This window comes from Homo sapiens, chromosome 3 (assembly GCF_000001405.40).
Source record: "Homo sapiens chromosome 3, GRCh38.p14 Primary Assembly".
Classification (NCBI taxonomy): Eukaryota; Metazoa; Chordata; class Mammalia; order Primates; family Hominidae; genus Homo; species Homo sapiens.
The window spans coordinates 44,876,437-44,894,272 of record NC_000003.12 but is presented as its reverse complement, the minus strand read 5'-3'; the positions used below and the strand labels follow the sequence as shown (position 1 = coordinate 44,894,272).

The window sequence follows — 17,836 nt, the reverse complement described above, 5'->3', positions numbered from 1 at the left end:
GTTGGGAGAGAGCCATGGGGGGTGGAAGAGAGCCATGGGGGGTGGGAGAGAGCCATGGGGGGTGGGAGAGAGCCATGGGGGGTGGGAGAGAGCCATGGGGGATGGGAGAGAGCCGTGGTGGGGGTGGGTGGGGGAGAGAGCTGTTGGGGTTGGGAGAGAGCCGTGGGGGGTGGAAGAGAGCCATGGGAGGTGGGAGAGGGCCAAGGGGGGTGGAAGAGAGCCATGGTGGGGAGAGAGTCAAGGGGGGTGGGAGAGAGCCGTGGGGGGTGGGAGAGAGCCGAGGGGGGTGGGAGAGAGCCATGGGGGGTAGGAGAGAGCTGTGGGGGGTGGGAGAGAGCCGTGGGGTGGATGGGAAAGGCCATGGGTGACCTTTGTGGAAGGGCTTCTGCCCAGGACTCCACCCCATCTGTGCAGCCTAGGCAGGTCACCCCTCTATGGCCAAGTTTTACATGTATGAGGCTGGCGTTTGACCCGAGGTTCACAACCCTTTCTCCAGAACCTTTACTGACTACTACCCAGCTAAAAGGGTGGTCTAGCAGATGGGGCCTGGTGCAGCCACAAGACGACAAATCATTACCTGACCAAAGTTCCAGGGTTTGCATTTGATACTTCTGGCAGCCCCCACGTAATGGCAGCCCGTGTCATTGAGGATGTACTCTTTGCGCTCGTCCTCATCAGGCATGAAAACCATGTCCTCTGAAGCAAGACCACACATCCACAGAGGTTATATTCTGCCCTGGGACAGGAGCAGGCTTGCCAATGGGGACTGTCTGTGCTGGGGGAGATTCAAGGTCTTTGTGAGGGGCTTGGAACACCCAATGTTGGGGGAGGGAGGTAAGCGGGAGGGAAAGTATCCAAAAGAACTTCCCGAGCCAGCTGTAGGGGACTTCCCCTGGGAAAATCTGGAGCAATTTAAGCATGAGTTAAGAAAAGGATGAATCATAAACCACTGAAAAGAAAGAGAGAGTCCATGAGTCCATACAGATGGAAGAGAGAGGTAGATGGGAGTGAAGGGAGGACTCTGCCTACAGGAAATGCCAGGGGCTAGCAGGTAAACATGGTGGAGAGCTGGCCTTGGAAAATCACTGTGCAACCATCACAGTGAAGAATGGTTGAAGCAAGAACCATCAGTGGATGCTAAATCTAGGGGTGGAGAATTTTAATAAGGATCAGGATGTTTGGATGGTCTTAAAATGTGTCCACATAGACTACTCGTTAAAAAGAAAAAGATAGTAATTATATAGCAGAAAAACTGGACAACACCTTGACCAAATGATCACATTTAACATTCCCAATGAGGGGCAGGCAGTGCCTCCAGATATGATTTTCCAAGAAGGACATGTCGTTTACATAATATCCAGCAAGGACTGCGTAACCTGAATCTAAAGATGATGAATCATCAGACAGACCCAAATGATGAATGATCTGTTAAAAAAGGGGACTTCTAGTCCTCAAAAATATGTCAAAAAAGACAAAGAAAGATAAAGAAATTGTTCCAGATTAAAGGAGGTAAACATAACTACATGCAAAATGTGACTCTAGATTGGATCCTGTACTGGAGGGAAAACAATGCTATAAAGTACATGATAAAATCAAGTGACCGGCTGGGTGCGGTGCCTCATGCCTATAATCCCAGCACTTTGGGAGGCCAAGCCAGGTAGATCACCTGAGGTCAGGAGTTCGAGACCAGCCTGACCAACATGGCGAAACCCTGTCTCTACTAAAAATACAAAAATTAGCTGGGTGTGGTGGCATGTGCCTGTAATCCCAGCTACTTGGGAGGCTGAGGCAGAAGAATTGCTTGAACCCAGGAGGCAGAGGCTGCAGCGAGCCAAGATCGCACCATTGCGCCATTGCACTCCAGCCTGGGCGACAAGAGTGAAACTCCGTCTCAAAAAAAAAAAAAAAAATTAAAAAAAAAGTGACCAAACTGGAATATAGATAGTAGATGAAAGTGTTATGCTAACACTTATTTTTTTAATTATTTATTTTTATTTATTTATTTATTTATTTTTGAGACAGAGTCTCGCTCTGTCACCCAGGCTGGAGTGCAGTGGCGTGATCTCAGCTCACTACAACCTCCACCTCCCAGGTTCAAGCGATTCTCCTGCCTCAGCCTCCCAAGTAGCTGGGATTACAGGTGCATGCCACCAGGCCCAGCTAATTTTTTGTATTTTTAGTAGAAACAGGGTTTCACCATGTTATCCAGGATGGTCTTGATCTCCTGACCCTGTGTTCCGCCTGCCTTGGCCTCCCAAAGTGCTGGGATTACAGGCATGAGCCACCGCGCCTGGCCTATTTTTTTTTTTCCTTTTTTGAGACAGAGCTGGAGTGCAGTGGTGCAATCTCGGCTCACTGCAAGTTCTGCCTCCCGGGTTCACGCCATTCTCCTGTCTCAGCCTCCCTAGTAGCTGAGAATATAGGCGCCCGCCACCATGCCCGGCTAATTTTTTTGTATTTTTAGTAGAGATGGGGTTTCACCGTGTTAGCCAGGATGGTCTCGATCTCCCAACCTCGTGATGCGCCCACCTCGGCCTCCCAAAGTGCTGTGATTACAGGCGTGAGCCACCACGCCTGGCTGCTAACACTTAATTTACTGAAGTTGATAACTGTACTGTGGTTATATGAGAGAATATCCCTGTTCTTAGGGAATACACATTGAAGGGTTTAGGGGTTGTAAAGAACCAACTTATATGTAACTTACTCTCAAATGGTTCAAAAATAAAAAGCTTGTGTGTGTGTGTGTGTGTGTGTGTGTGTAGAGGAGGGAGGGAGGGAAAATGATTAAGCAAATGGAGCAAAATGTTAACAACAGGTGAGCCTGGATGATAAAGGGTATAGGTTGTTCATTACATCATTTTTGCCACTTTTCTGTGAGCTCAAAATCATTTCCAAATACAAGTTAAAAAAAAAGAGCTCCTTGGCTTCTAGCATGGGTACCTGATGGCTTTTGACTTCAAGAAGGCCCCAGGAGAGAGGGCAGGTGTGGAAAGGGTTGACATAGAATGTGCCGCATTTGAGGCTGCAAGAAGATGTCCAGCACCCTCTGGAGAGAAGCCAGTGCTGGTAATGGCAGAAGTAGCCTCAAGCACCATTTACATAAAGGCTCCAGTGTAGCCACAGGAAGAAATGAGGTGGGTACATGAGGAAGTGGAGAGAAGAGAACAGAACTAAGGGAGCAGAAGGGAGGAACCAACCACAATTCAGGCCCTGACCTGGAGCTGGCAAGGAAGAAGTCCTTGGTGGCCCCTCCCCACCCCCACGAAGGCAGCCTCTGTACAGTGGTGGAGGCAGAAGCCAGCTGGGGCAGGGCGAGGCACTGGGGAGAAGTGGAAACAGGGAATAAGGACCTCCATTCTAAGGGGCCTGGTCACAAAGAAAACGCTCCATTGGTGTCTGTGATCTGTTCCTGGGTCACATCCCTTAAACTAGTTTGCAAGTACCTTGAGAGCAAACAAAAGCTCATAGACTATGCATTGCACATAGCAGGTTTTGCCGGGGTCACCTGCCATTCCCCAGCAGACCTGAGATTCACAGTACCTTTACACCATGGGTTGAAGAGAAGGTATAGGATGTTTTCTTCAGACTTAAGGATGTGGTTTCCAGTTTTCACGTTTAGTTGGTACTTGCCCAGGATGGCATTGGGGGAACTGGTGACAGCCACTGTGACCTGAGCAAACCATAAGATAAGGTGGACATCTCCCCCTCTGGCCAGATCCCAAATCTTACAAATGCTTCCCAGAAGAATCCGTCAGTCCTAACAACTCATCCCATCTGGAACCAGCCTGGAGACAAGGAATGGTCAGGACCCTGGACAGCCAGGAGCGCCCCTGCAAGGGCAGGATGCATGAGACAGAAAAGCAGCTCCATACAGCATGAAGTTTTGGCACGTCTTGCAAGGGCCCTGGAGAGACTGGGCATTTTCACCTCCCTGAGATTCACTCCCTTCACCACTTGCTTCACCACAGCCTGGAGGTGATACCATCTCCAGGTTGTTGGGAAGATGCTGTGGATAAAGTACGCATAAGGTGCTGACATGGCTGGCTCTGTGTCCCCACTCGAATCTCGTCTCGTATTGTAATCCCCATAATCCCCACATGTTGAGTGAGGGACCTGGTGGGAGGTGATTGAATCATGGGGGCAGTTTCCCCCATGCTGTTCTCATGATAGTCAGTGAGTGCTCATGAGCTCTGATGGTTTTATAAGGCAGTTTCCCCTGCTCTTTCTCGCTCTCTCTCACCTGCTACCATGTAAAATGTGCCTACTTCCTCTTCTGCCATGATTGTAAGTTTCCTGAGGTGTCCCCAGCCATGTGGAACTGTGAGTCAATTAAACTTCTTTCCTTTATAAATTACCCAGTCTCAGGTATTCTTTAGAGTAGTAGAGTAGTACAAGAATGGACTAATACAGGTGCCTAGCCCAGTGTCTGGAACTTCAGGGGAAAGGTTAAATGTCAGCTGTCTTTTGGAGCAAAAAAAAACACCTTTCTCTTGGAATACAGGCAGCCAGAGTCCCAGAAGGCCATTGGTCCAAGGGCGTCCAGGCCTCTATCCAGCCTTTTAGGATAAATAATAGCTGGAGAGATAATTAGGATACATCAATATTGCTGTAGCCACAATGGTACCAAGAATAATAATTCTCATCCTTGTCACAATACACTTCCATTTGTGGTCCAAGGTCCTCCCATGAGATGCTTATTATTATAACTCATAGGAGCAATAGGCTCTCAGTTCAAATCCCAGCTCTACTCTTCCCCCTTTTTTTTGAGACAGAGTCCTTCTCTCTCACCCAGGCTGGAGTGCAACTGGCTTCTAGCATGGGCATCTGATGGCTTTTGACTTCAGGAAGGCCCCAGGAGAAAGGGCAGGTGTGGAAAAGGGTTGACATAGGATGTGCCACATTTGAGGCTGCAAGATGTCCAGCACCCTCTGGAGAGAAGCTGGTGCTGGCGATGGCAGAAGTAGCCTTGAGTGCCATTGCAGCATTGAACTCCTGGGGTCAAGTGATTCTCCCACCTAAGCCTCCCAACTAGCTGGAACTACACGTGCCCACCATCACTCCTGGCTAATTTTTTTTTTTTTTTTTTTTTTTTTTTTTTTTTTAGTAGAGATGGGGTAGCCCTGTGTTGCCCAGGCTGGCCAGCTCTACCTCTTACTGGCTGTATGACCTTGGCTGATTACTTAACCTCTCCTGTGCCTCAGTTTTCTTGTTTAAAAGTTTGGAATGATAACAGGCCCCCTTCTTTGTGGGAGCATTGTGAAAATTAAATGAGCTAATAAATATAAATGTTTAATTGTCATTATTTTGCTGGTGGGGAAACTGAGGTTCACAGAGGTAGCCCAAGAGGTGGAGCTGGGATCAAACTCACTGTGCTACAACTCCAGAATCCACAAGGCTAACTCCCCATACCCCTCTTGTGGCAAGAGGGAGGAGGTTGTGCCCTCACTGTTCATTACAATGGAGCTCAGGAGAACCAGCCTTCCAGGGTGCAGGAAATGGCCTCCACCTTGATCTGGCTGGTGGTCCCACAGCTGTATTCATATGTAAAAATTCATTGTGCAAACCATTAAGATTTGTGTCCTTTATGTGTGTTATATGTCAATTAAAAAAAATTAAAAATAACACTTTTTGAGTAAAGAAATGCAGCTCCTGCCCACAACCCATGCCCACCTCAGGAGAGATTTTCATGATACCCTGAAAAACACTCAGATGCAAAATTGGGGTTGAGAGTCTGGGATCTGGATGGGAGGGAGAGGAAGGAAGAGGCCGGGGCACTAGCGAGGATTCCAGCAGCAGCTGGCCCATTCATCTCATTTCCACCAGCAGATTCTGCTTCCACAAAAACCCAATGTAGTTGCCATTTTTAAATCATGGCATTAGCTTAGCATTAAACTTCTAGGAATTTAGCCCAAGGAAATATCCATAAACCAGTCCAAAGATCTGGCCGAGACATGGTTCTTTACAACACTGGAAGATTGGAGACAACTGTGAACACCCAGTGCTCCCAAAAAGGGTGGAAAACCAGCCACCGTAAGCCACACACTCGGGCAGAAGCCACTGTGGAAAACATCCATTAGGTCTTGTCAAGTGAGTGAAGCATGAGATGGACCCCCATTTTGTATTTGACCATGACACAGAAAAAGCCTGGAAGGAAGGATGGGTAACTTAGTTGGTGGAACCATGGGTTATTTTTATGTACTTCTCTCCGCTCATGTCCTCCAGTGAACATTGTTCCCTTTGAAATGGAAAGGGGAAGGGTGACATGTAGGAGGTTTGGCCACAGCGATACTGTGTGCTTGGAGGAGGCTGAGTGGGGAAACAGACATTTGGAGCCATGGCCCCTCTATCATGCTGTGCTGTGGATGGCTTTAAACCATGTTACCAGCTGACAGGTGAGGAAGGGGATAGGGGCTGCTCACATTAGGAGCATTCCGCCAGAAGCCAGCCAGCCCACCCGCCAGCCCAGTGGGTGCTCACCTCTTTGCCAGACTCATTTTGAAGGGTTGCCTGCCAGTTGTAGTGGTCTGAGGGCGTCCTCGGGTCGAGCACCACCAGGGTGTGTTTGGCGATGCTAGGATTCGGCCCTGGAGACACCCAAAGGAAAACATTGGCCCAGCCATGGGCCACCCCCAAGACAATCTCCTCTGGTTCGGGCCCACCTACTGCCCACTCATGGAGCCCCCACCCCTCCTTTCCAGGCTCATTTGTCCCCTGGCTCCAGCCCCTCTAATTCTGCAGGGGCCTCCTTCTGCCCCACATGTCCAGTTTTAGTTTTCTGTTCAATTTAGATGAGCTTCCTGCCTCCTCTCCACGTCCTCCCTTTTTACCCATCAGATCCAGGTCTCCCTAGAGCTCCTGCCTCTGTCACATGCTCATTCGAGTTACCATTTGTTTAACCCTGCTGGCTCGTGCCACAGACCAACATGCTTGTTCACTCCACGCAATGCAGGGGAACTGCTTAACCTTCACTCCTCGTCTGGAGGAGGCAGATGCCACCGCCTACCCTGCAAGCTGTTGCAGGATCTTGTTTGAAAGGTCGGTCAGTTTATGTCATGAGCTCCAGGGACTACTAGAATCAAATCCAACCTCTTTCCATAGCCCACAGGTGGCCCTCAGTGAGGCTTCTCCCCAGCTCCCCACTTTCCTCCCTGTCATGACTGGGTTTCTGGTCCCCAGAGAGTTAGCTCATGACAAAGAGCATGTGACACAAGTGTTGTCTCCTCAGGGCCCTGGCACTTGCCGTGCTCATGGCTGGGAACACCCTGCTCTCAGCTCTTCACATGGTGGGACGTGGGTCTCAGCAGGGTCACTTCCCAGGGAAGCCCTTCCAACCCTGACAGAGTCAGCACCGACAGAGTCAGCCCCGCCCTGACCTGCTGCTTTCTGTCTTGCTGGAGGAGCCTCTTGTTTTTGGTTTCTTCATCATATCTGGCCCTGTCTGAAATTATCTTGCACTTTTGTTTGTTTACTGCTCTCTCTGCTAGTACAGTCAAGTCTAGGAGGCAGGAACTGCTTTACCTCTGGGTTCCCTGGCACAGAGTAGGTACTCAACAAATATTTGTTGAGTGAGTGATTCACACTATGTCATACATGGAGAGTGCTCAGTGCAACACCTGGCATGTGGCAAGTACTCAGGAAATTTTGGGTGAGGGAATGCACATGGACCCAGGGGTACTATAAAGTCACTGAAGTCAGCAACAGCACGGTCCCAGTCCATGCGTTGAGCAGGTAGCTCATGGCATGGCACACAGTAGGTGCTTATTTCATCTTGGATGAAGGGAATGGAGGCTGTTCTGACTGATCTCCACCAGCACGTTGGAGGAGACCCTAAGCCTGTTGTTCACTCAGAGAAGGAGCAAAAGGAGCGCTCTCCCAGGAAGTGCTATTGTATGCCATCTTGTAAAGTAGATCTACCTGATCTAATTTTTTTTTGAGACGGAGTTTCACTCTTGTCGCCAGGATGAAGTGCAATGACACTATCTTGCCTCCCTGCAACCTCCACCTCCCAGGTTCAAGCAATTCTACCTCAGCCTCCCGAATAGCTGGGATTACAGGCACCTGCCACTATGCCCAGCTAATTTTTGTATTTTTAGTAGAGACAGGGTTTCACCATGTTGGCCAGGTTGATCTCGAACTCCTGACCTCAGGTGATCTGCCTGCCTCGGCCTCCCAAAATGCTGGGATTACAGGCATGAGCTGCCATGCCCAGCTTACTTGATCTATTTTTAAAACTTAAAAACAACATTAAAGAAGTAAGACCCTCCTCCATTATCCCACCACCTGTCACAAAATCTAATACATTTTCTCTCTTCCCCTAGTTGTACTTATGCACATATATTTACCTAGCTATAACAAATGCATGAGCCATTTCCTATTATCTTTGCAACCAAAATATGATATTTTAATCATTATTATTGGCTTGCCTCCAGCCCACCCCGCTATGGCATCAGCATACCTCAGTCCTATGATTCATCTCTACAAAATGTTCCAGACCCCACCACGGCAGATGCCCGCTGAGTCACCTCCTCTCTCTGCTCTGGCCCCTCCCCTGCTTAGCCAAGGAATCAGAGCCTCACTATGTGCCAGGTCCTGACTGAGCTTCCCATTCTATTCTCTTCACACCCGCTATTATTCCCACATTACAGATGGAGAAACTGGGGATCAGGGAGGGTAAGGCACTCCTGGCTCAGACTGACCAGAAAGGGCCACTCCAGCATCCACAGACACTTGTGATCCCTCCCCAAAGCCCCATGAGTAGGGCCCCGAGGCTTCACCTGTGCTGAATTCCAGTTTCAGTTGGTGGTAGGATTGTAGGGGCTGGTTCAGCACCAGCCGCAGGTGAAACACCTGTCCTCGCCGGAACACAGGACTGCTCGTTTGGAACTCCCATGTGTGGTGAGAAACGGCGTTGTCCTGATTCAAGAAGTCAATGTGGAGAACTTGCAGCTCTGTCAGCAACGCAGCACATGTGGAAAGAGAGCACAGAGAATGTTTATTCCCTGATCACCTCTTTCTGGGTTCAAAATCTGAGAGTGCATTGAGGTGGAGCTGGGCTTTAGAGTCGGGCATCCCTGCTCCACCTCCAGCTGGTTATGAATCTGTCTGAGACTCAGTTTCTTCACCTGTAAGACTGGTGTGCACATACCTACCTTGTGGGATTACATGGGGATGAGCTGAGAGCAGTGGACTCAAGTGCTTAGTCATGTAACCCCGCAAAATAGGTAAGTGCACGCCCATCTTACAGGTGAGGAAACTGAGTTTCAAACAGGGTGAGTCTGTGAGTGGCTGTTAGGCAAGTTTCCCACCCCAACTCCCCCTCTCTGCAGACATGGCCTCAGGAACAAACCTGGTGCCAGGGTGTTCTCCGTCAATCAACACAAAAGCTGAAGGGAAAGAGGGGAGCGGGCAAACTGAGGAGGGAACAGATGAGCCCTGGGATTGCTCCCCTTCCTGTTCAGCCCAGACTCCCATCAGCTTCAAGTCAGACACCATCCTGAGGTGAGAGTTCACATCCTGAAGAGAAGGGTGGGGTGCAAAGTGGCTGGGGTGAAGCCTTTTTATCCAAATTGAGGAGGAAGCACCAAGGAGCTCCCATGATCTGAGGCCAAGACTACTTGCATTATAAATGGGATTTTTAAGGCCAGGTGCAGTGGTTCACGCCTCTAATCCCAGCACTTTGGGAGGCTGTGGGGGCGGCGCATCACCTGAGATCAGGAGCCGAGATCAAGCCACTGCACTCCAGAATGGGTGACAGAGTGAGACTCCATCCCCCCCAAAAAAAACAGGGGATTTTTTTCTTCAATGCTAAAGTGAAAAGTACATTCAGTAAAAGAAATAATCTCCACATGCATAATACACCCTTTTCTGTAGCACATGTATTTCTCACCATGTGTCTGTTATAATGACATTTCGTATTACCTCAGCTTGAGACCCAAACCCCTCCCCTTTATCTAAAATTCAAACCATTCCCAGGCTCATGAGTCATGAAGGGAAATGTGTTTTGGCTGCATGCTGAAACCACCTGGGGGTTGTAAAACTACTTATGTTCTCCCCCAGCGATTCTGATACAATTGTTCTGAGTGGGGCTGAGCCTCTATGTTTTCAAAGCTTTCCAGGCAATTCGAGTGTGCAGAGGGCATGGTAAAACACAGACTGCCAGACCCACCCTGAGTTTCTGATTCAGCACATCTGGGGTGTGGCTGAGAATTTGCCTCTCCAGCAGCTTCCTTGATGACGCTGTGCTGCTGGCCCAGGGAGGCACATATGGAGAACCCCTAGATTAGGAAGCCCCGCTGTGGCCTGTGAGGTAAAGTGAGGTGAGATGCAGGGACCTTCCTCTGCTCCTGAGGGCTCACCCACAGAGGAAACCCATCCTCTGCAGAGATCAAGGAGGCCAGCCATGGAAACTGGGCTTTCATGACTACAAAATAGGTGGAGTGGTCACGCCCACATCAGATGCCTACCTTGGGGATGCGGCCAGTGATGTGTTTGGAGACAGCACAGCTCATTCTTGCTGGAGTGGCTTTGGGATTGGGGTCTGGACAAGTGTTCTCCAGGAAGGCAAGTCCCAGCAAGTGGCCTTCCCTTCACACTGCGCACAGGGCCTGGGAACCTGCTGCCTCCAGCAGGGAGGCCCACCTGGCAGACAGACCTACCTTCCCAGGTGCTTCCCCTTCTTGGGCTGAAACCTTGGGGTGGGCCGATGGCTAGCTGGAGCATCTTAGCCCATTTGTGCCACTGTTATGGAATACCTGAGACTGGGTCATTTAGAAAGAATAGAAATTTATTTCTCACAGTTCTGGAGGCTGGGAAGTCCAAGATCAAGGCACTAGCATCTGGTGAGGGCCTCTTGCTGCATTGTAACATAGCAGAAGGCAGAGGGCGAGAGAGGACCAACTCCCTCCTTCAGGTCCCTTTAGAGGGGCACCTCATCTCATTCACAGGGAAGAAGCCCTTATCACCTAATCAACTCTTAAAGGCCCCACCTCTTAGTATCACCACATTGGCAACCCCTGAATTTTAGGGGGAGACATATTCAAACCATAGCATGCTGTCAGGAGCTGCAATCCTGAAAGGCTTCTTCATTTCCCTGGACAGCAGAGCTCCTGCTGTGGGACCCAGAGCCAATCGCAAAGCAATCACAGCTGGAAAAGGGCTTTAACAGTCCCTCCCATGTTCTGACTTATTCCTGCTCCCCCATGGACTGGGCAGGTGGGTGACCTGGGTTCCCAAGGGGTAAAGGTATAGGTTTTGGTACCAGGAAGCAGGAAAGAGCAGTTAAGAAATCCAAATCCTAAATGCAGTCATCTCTGTGGAAGCTTCTTAAGACCTTATCTCCCTGGAATGGTAAACATAGTCCCTCCCTTGGTGGCTAGTGTGCACATTGAGTGCCTGGCACATGCCTGGCACACAGTAGGCACTCGACAAAATGCAGGCCATCATTAATGTTAGGCAGATGGGCATATAGTGGGTTGAATGGTGGTCCCACAGAAGATATCTCCACCTGGAGCCTATGAATGTGACCTTATAGAAATAGGGGATTTTCAGGTGTGATTAAGGATCTTGTGATTATATTATCCTGGATTATCCAGGTAGGACCTAAATCCAAGAATAAGTGTCCTTATAAGAGACATGGAAAGGCAAGGGGAGGGTCATGTGAAGATGGAGGCAGAGACTGGAGTTACACAGCTGCAAGCCACAGAACACCTGGAGCCACCAGAAACCAAGAAAGACAAGGGAAGATTCTCCACTGGAGGCTTCTGCAAGAGCAGGACCCTGCGGACATTTTGATTTTGGATGTCTATCTTCCAGAACGAGAGAATAATAAATTGCTGTTGTTTTAAGCAGCCTCATTTGTGGTCATTTGAATGCCCTAAGAAACCAACATACAGCACATAACAGATGGCCAGTACTGGAGCCTCCTCCCTCACCCTCTCCTGGGCACTGCTCTGTGACCTGAGCACTGCTTAAGGCAGATCTGGGAGGCTGGAGGAATCCTGGAACTACAGGAAGCCACACTGGGGCTGTCTTTAAAAAAATGCCTTTGGAGTCACATACCTGTAATCCCGGTTACTCGGGAGACTGAGGTGGGAGAATCACTTGAGCCCAGGAGTTTGAGGCTGCAGTGAGCTATGATTGCAGCTGTGAATAGCCACAACACGCCAGCCTGGGCAACAAAGTGAGACCTCAACTCTAAAAAAAAAAAAAAAAAAAAAGCGTTTGTATTTTTATTTTGTAGCTATTGCACTTGGATAGATGGTCAAAATTGATATACCAGTTTAATGCTTGCAGTGTCATAAATGCAAGATGACCAGGGAAACCTGCAAAGAAAAAGTGTCAGTGGAATACAATGTCCTTGTTTCTTGCCACCAATGTGTGGGTTGGAGTTTAAATTATTTGAGTATTAAAAAACAAAAGTCTCTGCAATGGATAATTTTTGCTATAACTTTTGCCTATGAAGCCTCTGGAAAAAAGGAGACAACATAAAAGACAAGCAATCTCCAGATGGCGATATACTTTTGGAGTTTTAAAAAGCAAAGTTGCTTTTAAACTAAAATTAGCATTAGTTGCTAATGAGCTCTTGTGAAATTGTCAGCCTTAGAAGCTTATGATTTTCCAGTCTGTATGTATATTTTTGAGTGGGTCAAGTGGGACTCTTGAAATGACAAGAAAAAACGCACTTAAGAGGATCTTGGTGACTTTATAAGAAGAGGAAGACCTGAGCTTACCATGTGATGCCCAGCACCACCTTGGGACTCCTCAGGGAGTCCTCGCTAGGAAGAAGGCCCTCACCAGATGCAGCTCCTCGACCTTGGAGTCTCAGCCTCCATAACTGTAATAAATGAATTTCTTTTCTTTATAAATTACCTGAGTTTTAGGTATTCTTTTATAAGCAACAGAAAATAAACTAATACAATTTCCTTCTCCTTCCTTCTGGTAAGGCAGTTTGATTATTAAATACAGCTTTCCCCAGAAAGGGACTGACCTTTTCTAGGCTGCTCAATGAATAAATGATCAGGACAAAAAATAGTGAGAGGTTATTTAAGATTACTTTGATTTTTTTTTTTTTAATACAGGGCCTTGCTCTGTCACCCAGGCTGGAGTGCCGTGGTGTGAACACGGCTCACTGCAGCCACAACCTCCTGAGCTCAAGGGATCCTCCCACTTCAGCCTCCAGAGTAGCTGGGACTACAGGTGTGCACCATAGTGCACTTCATAGTGGTGATGAAGTCTTACTATGTTGCCCAGGCTGGTCTCAAACTCCTGAATTCAAGCGATCCTCCTGCCTCAGCCTCCAAAAATGTTGGAATTACAGACACGAGCCACCACACCCGAACTACCATTTTGAAAATTTTTGAAAATTCAGGATTTTGTCCTGACCAATTCCAGAATATGATGTGTTATTCTGGTTAGGTTGTATTAAAATATTTTTCTGTAAAAATGCTTTTGTCCCTCTTGCAAACAACCATTCCAGATGAAAGGTCTGGGTGAGAATAAGAGATTACTAAAAACAAAAAGAAAATAAAGTTATGATTGCTGAATGAATGAGATACACAGAGAAAAAACATGTCACAACTAATTGCTAAAGGAATTAAACACATCCTGTGTGACACTGGAGAGGACTCTTGGAAGACCTGCCTAGCTCCCTCAGGACCTCACCCCAGCAGGCTTTTCCCTTTGCTGATTTTTCTTTGTACTTTTTGCCACAAGAAATCACATTCCCCCACCCCCCAGTGTCCATATTGCTGCCTGAGTCTACTGCCACCTGCCAGCAGGCACTCCTGGAGAGTCTCCTTCCCAGAGTGCTTGTGGGAGCACAGCCCCTGCAGAATGCATACCGGTTATGAAAAATTTCAAACATCACCTCTTTCTGTAGAGGTCTGGGATTCCCCCATACTGAGAAAGTAAAATAAACAGTTGTCCTTGGCTCATAGGCAGAAACTGGCTCCTAGTCACAGTTGTCACTGGTTTAGGGGATAAACGCCAATCTTCTTTGGAGTAATTCATTCTCCACCAAAGTTTTATGGCATTCCCACAGATAAAGTCACACTCAAGGTGAGCTTATAGCCCCAAATTTTAAAACACAAAATACACTATTTCAGCAGAAACCACACAAGTATTCGTCCAAGAAATCAGATAATATACAGACTATAAAATAACGTATATAGACTATGGACCAGGCACAGTGGCTCACGCCTATGATCCCAACACTTTGGGAGGCTGAGGCAGGGGGATCCCTTGAGCCCAGGAGTTCAAGATCAGCCTGGGCAACATAGAGAAACCCTGTCTTTAAAAAAAAATTATTTAATTAACTGAGAATGGTGATGTGCACATGCAGTCTCAGCTACTTGGGAGGCTGAGGCAAGAGTATCTCTTGGGCCTGGGAGGTCAAGGCTGCAGTGAGCCATGTTCACACCACTACACTACAGCCTGGGTGACAGGGTGAGACCTTATTTCAAAAAATAATAAATAAAATAAAATATTAAAAAATATAGGGCCGGGCACAGTGGCTCATGCCTGTAATCCCAGCACTTTGGGAGGCAGAAGTGGGCAGATCACCTGAGGTCAGGAGTTCGAGACCAGCCTGACCAACACGGTGAAACCCCGTCTCTACTAAAAATACAAAATCAAAATTAGCCGGATGTGGTGGCAGGCGCCTGTAGTCCCAGCTACTTGGGAGGCTGAGTCGGGAGAATGGCGTGAACCTGGGAGGCAGAGCTTGCAGTGAGCCGAGATTGCGCCACTGCACTCCAGCCTGGGCGACAGAGTGAGACTCTGTCTCAAAAAAAAAAAAAAAAATTAGCCAGGCTTGGTGGCACATGCCTGTAATCCCAGCTACTCGAGAGGCTGAGGCAGAAGAATTGCTTGAACCGGGGAGGCAGAGGTTGCAGTGAGCCGAGATCACGCCATGGCACTCTAGCCTGGGCAATAAGAGTGAAACTCCATCTCAAAAATAAATAAATAAATTAATTAAATTAAATAAACTATATATATATATATATATATAGAGAGAGAGAGAGAGAGAGAGAGAGAGACCATAAAATAGCCAAGTCAAAAATGGCTAGGGACCTAAGAGAATAAATCAGAATGATGAGAAAGGAATAAGCCACTATTAAGAATGACCAGATAAATTTTTTAAAACATAACTTCTAAAAATGAAAATATGGTTCTCAAAATGAAAAAAACTCACAGGTTAAACAGCAAATAGACATAACTGAAAGAGAATCAGTGAACTAGAAAATAGACTGGAAACAAATACCTATAATACAACCTAGAGAAATATTAATAGAAGTAAATATGAAAAGCAGTTTAGAGACGCGGAGTCTTGGATGAAAAGGGCTAAACTATATACTATAGTTGTTCTGAAAGGAGAGAATCAAGAATGGGGAGCAGCAGCGAAGAGGTGATGGTTGAAAACTTTCCAAAATGAATGAGAGACATGAATCCTCTTATTTAGGAACCACAAAGAATCACAAATAGGATAAAGAAGAGGCCAGGCGCAGCGGCTCACGCCTGTAATCCCAGCATTTTGGGAGGCCAGGACAGGCGGATCACTTGAGGCCAGGAGTTCATGACCAGCCTGGCCAACATGGTGAAACCCCATCTCTACTAAAAATAAAAAATTAGCTGGGTAATGTGGCGCATGCCTGTAATCCCAGCTATTCAGGAGGCTGAGGTAGGAGAATCGCTTGAACCTGGGAACTGGAGGCTGCAGTGAACCGAGATCACGTCACTGTGCTCCAGCCTGGGTGACAGAGTGAGACCTCATCTCAAATAATAATAATAATAATAATAATAATAATAATAATAATAATAATAATAAAACAAAAGTAATAAATGCCCATTACAAAAATTAAGTTTCTCTCCCATCCCAGACTCCCAGATCCTTTCTCCAGAGAAAATCACTATAAAGTATCTAGGTATCTTTCCAGTTTTCTCTGCCATAAACCATTACTTTAGTTACAGAAACAGGAGCTTTCTCAATACACTATTCTGCGCCTTGCTTCTCTCTCTCTCTCTCTTTTTCTCCCTCTCTCTCTCACACACATGTCTTGAAATTTATCTCCTAACCACCCAAGTAGATCTTGTTATTATTTTCTTTTAATTTTTTTTTCTTTTTTTGAGACAGAGTCTCATTCTGTTTCCCAGGCTGGAGTGCAATGGTGTGATCACAGCTCACTGCAGCCTCGACCTCCTGGGCTGAAGCAATCCTCTCACCTCATCCTCCTGAGTAGCTGGCACTACAGGCATGCATCACCACACCCAGCTAATTTTTTCATTTTTTGTGAAGAAGGGGTCTCCTTATGTTGCCCAGGCTGGTCTCAACCTTGTTACTTTTTAGTAGCTATTATCCCCCTGGATGGACATGTAGACCATTTAAAATCTTATATGCTACAATGTACTTCCTTGTACATGTATCTTTGCACTCATGTGTGACAATATTTGTAAGAGAAATCTTCCAAAGCAGAATTGCTGTGTCACAGGATATGGGCATCTTTAATTTCAGCAAATGTTGCCAGAGAGCCTTCTAGCGACTGCACCAGTGATACTCCTACAAAAAGATGAGAAGATGCCTTTTTAAAGCTATTTACTATTAAACTTTTAATCTTGGCTAATCTGATAAATGAAAAAATGAAATCTCATTGCTGTTTTGCTTTTATATAACCTTTTTTTTTTTTAAGAGACAGAGTCTTGGCCTGTCACCCAGGCTGAAGTGCAGTGTTGCAATCATGGCTCACTGCAGCCTTGAACCTGAGTAGCTGAGTAGCTGGAACTACCGATATGCACCACCATGTCTGGCTAATTTTTATTTTTATTTATTTATTTATTTTTGAGACAAAGTCTCGCTCTGTTGCCCAGACTGGAGTGCAGTCTCAGCTCACTGCAGCCTCCGCCTCCCAGGTTCAAGCAATTCTCATGCCTCAGTCACCCAAGTAGCTGGGATTACCGGTGTACCCCACCACACCCGGCTAATTTTTGTATTTTTTAGTAGAGACGGGGTTTCACCATGATGGCCAGGCTTGTCCCTAACTTCTGATCTCAAGTGATCTGCCCACCTTGGCTTCCCAAAGTGCTGGGATTACAGGCATGAGCCACCTTGCTGGGCCACGGCTAATTTTTAAATTGTTTTGTGGAGACAGGGTCTCACTATGTTTTCCAGGCTGGTCTCGAACTCCTGGGCTCAAGCAATCCTCCTACCTCAGCCTCCCAAATTTTGGGGATTATAGGCATGAACCACCATACCTGGCCTGCTGTTTCAGTTTTATTTCATGACCACCCTCGTTACAAGTAAGGTTGAGCATCTTTTCATATATTACAATTTATATTTCTTTTTCTTTGAACTACCTAATACTGCTCTTTGTCCATGTATATTTTGGGATGTTGGTCATTTTCTTATAGATCTGAGAGCTCTTTTTATACTACAGAACAGCATTTGCTTCTCATATGTGTTGAAAGTACCCTTCACAGTTCCATTACCTTCTGACTCTGGAGGTTTTGTCTTACACATATTTTTAATTTTTCTGGAGTCAGTTTTACTGTTCTTTTCCTTTATGTTTCTAGGTTTTCTATTTTCCTTTGTAACACCTTCTCTACTCTAAGATTATTTTTCATATTGCCTTCATTTTCTTCTATTGCCTTTACAGTTTCGTCTTCGACCTTTCTGGGATTCGTTGTGGGATAAGCCATGAGATAGATATCTGGCTTTGTTTTTCTCTAAATACTAACCAGTTGTCCTAATACCATAAAGTGCACAATTTCTCATTTCCTCCATTTATATGAAATCCTACCTTTATCCCACACATATCACCATCTTCCAGGTCCCTATTTGGATGTC

The 17,836-nt window shown here is 46.8% G+C and overlaps 1 protein-coding gene across 2 annotated transcripts in view, besides 2 other annotated features; it reads right to left on the bottom strand.

Moving 5' to 3' along the window:
* TGM4 (transglutaminase 4) overlaps positions 1–17,836 on the bottom strand; it is a 40,383-nt gene that overhangs the window by 20,718 nt on the left and 1,829 nt on the right. The window contains exons 2-6 of one of the 2 annotated variants that reach the window (XM_011534042.3): positions 12,058–12,192; positions 8,775–8,948; positions 6,478–6,584; positions 3,541–3,670; positions 578–696 (exon numbers count right to left, since the gene is read on the bottom strand). In XM_011534042.3, the coding sequence (XP_011532344.1) occupies positions 578–696; positions 3,541–3,670; positions 6,478–6,584; positions 8,775–8,948; positions 12,058–12,192 (665 nt within the window). The remainder of the gene's footprint in view (positions 1–577; positions 697–3,540; positions 3,671–6,477; positions 6,585–8,774; positions 8,949–12,057; positions 12,193–17,836) is intronic. The other variant, NM_003241.4, reaches the window with a different exon arrangement.
* Positions 8,382–8,676: an enhancer, noted in NCBI's record as "tiled region #3821; HepG2 Activating DNase matched - State 20:ReprD". NCBI's record gives its function as "activates a minimal TATA promoter and a strong SV40 promoter by Sharpr-MPRA in HepG2 cells {active_cell/tissue: HepG2}" and the evidence as "EXISTENCE:reporter gene assay evidence [ECO:0000049][PMID:27701403]".
* Positions 9,702–10,379: an enhancer, noted in NCBI's record as "H3K27ac-H3K4me1 hESC enhancer chr3:44925386-44926063 (GRCh37/hg19 assembly coordinates)". NCBI's record gives its function as "activates a minimal SCP1, AML or CMV promoter by ChIP-STARR-seq in primed H9 embryonic stem cells {active_cell/tissue: H9 hESC(primed)}" and the evidence as "EXISTENCE:reporter gene assay evidence [ECO:0000049][PMID:30033119]".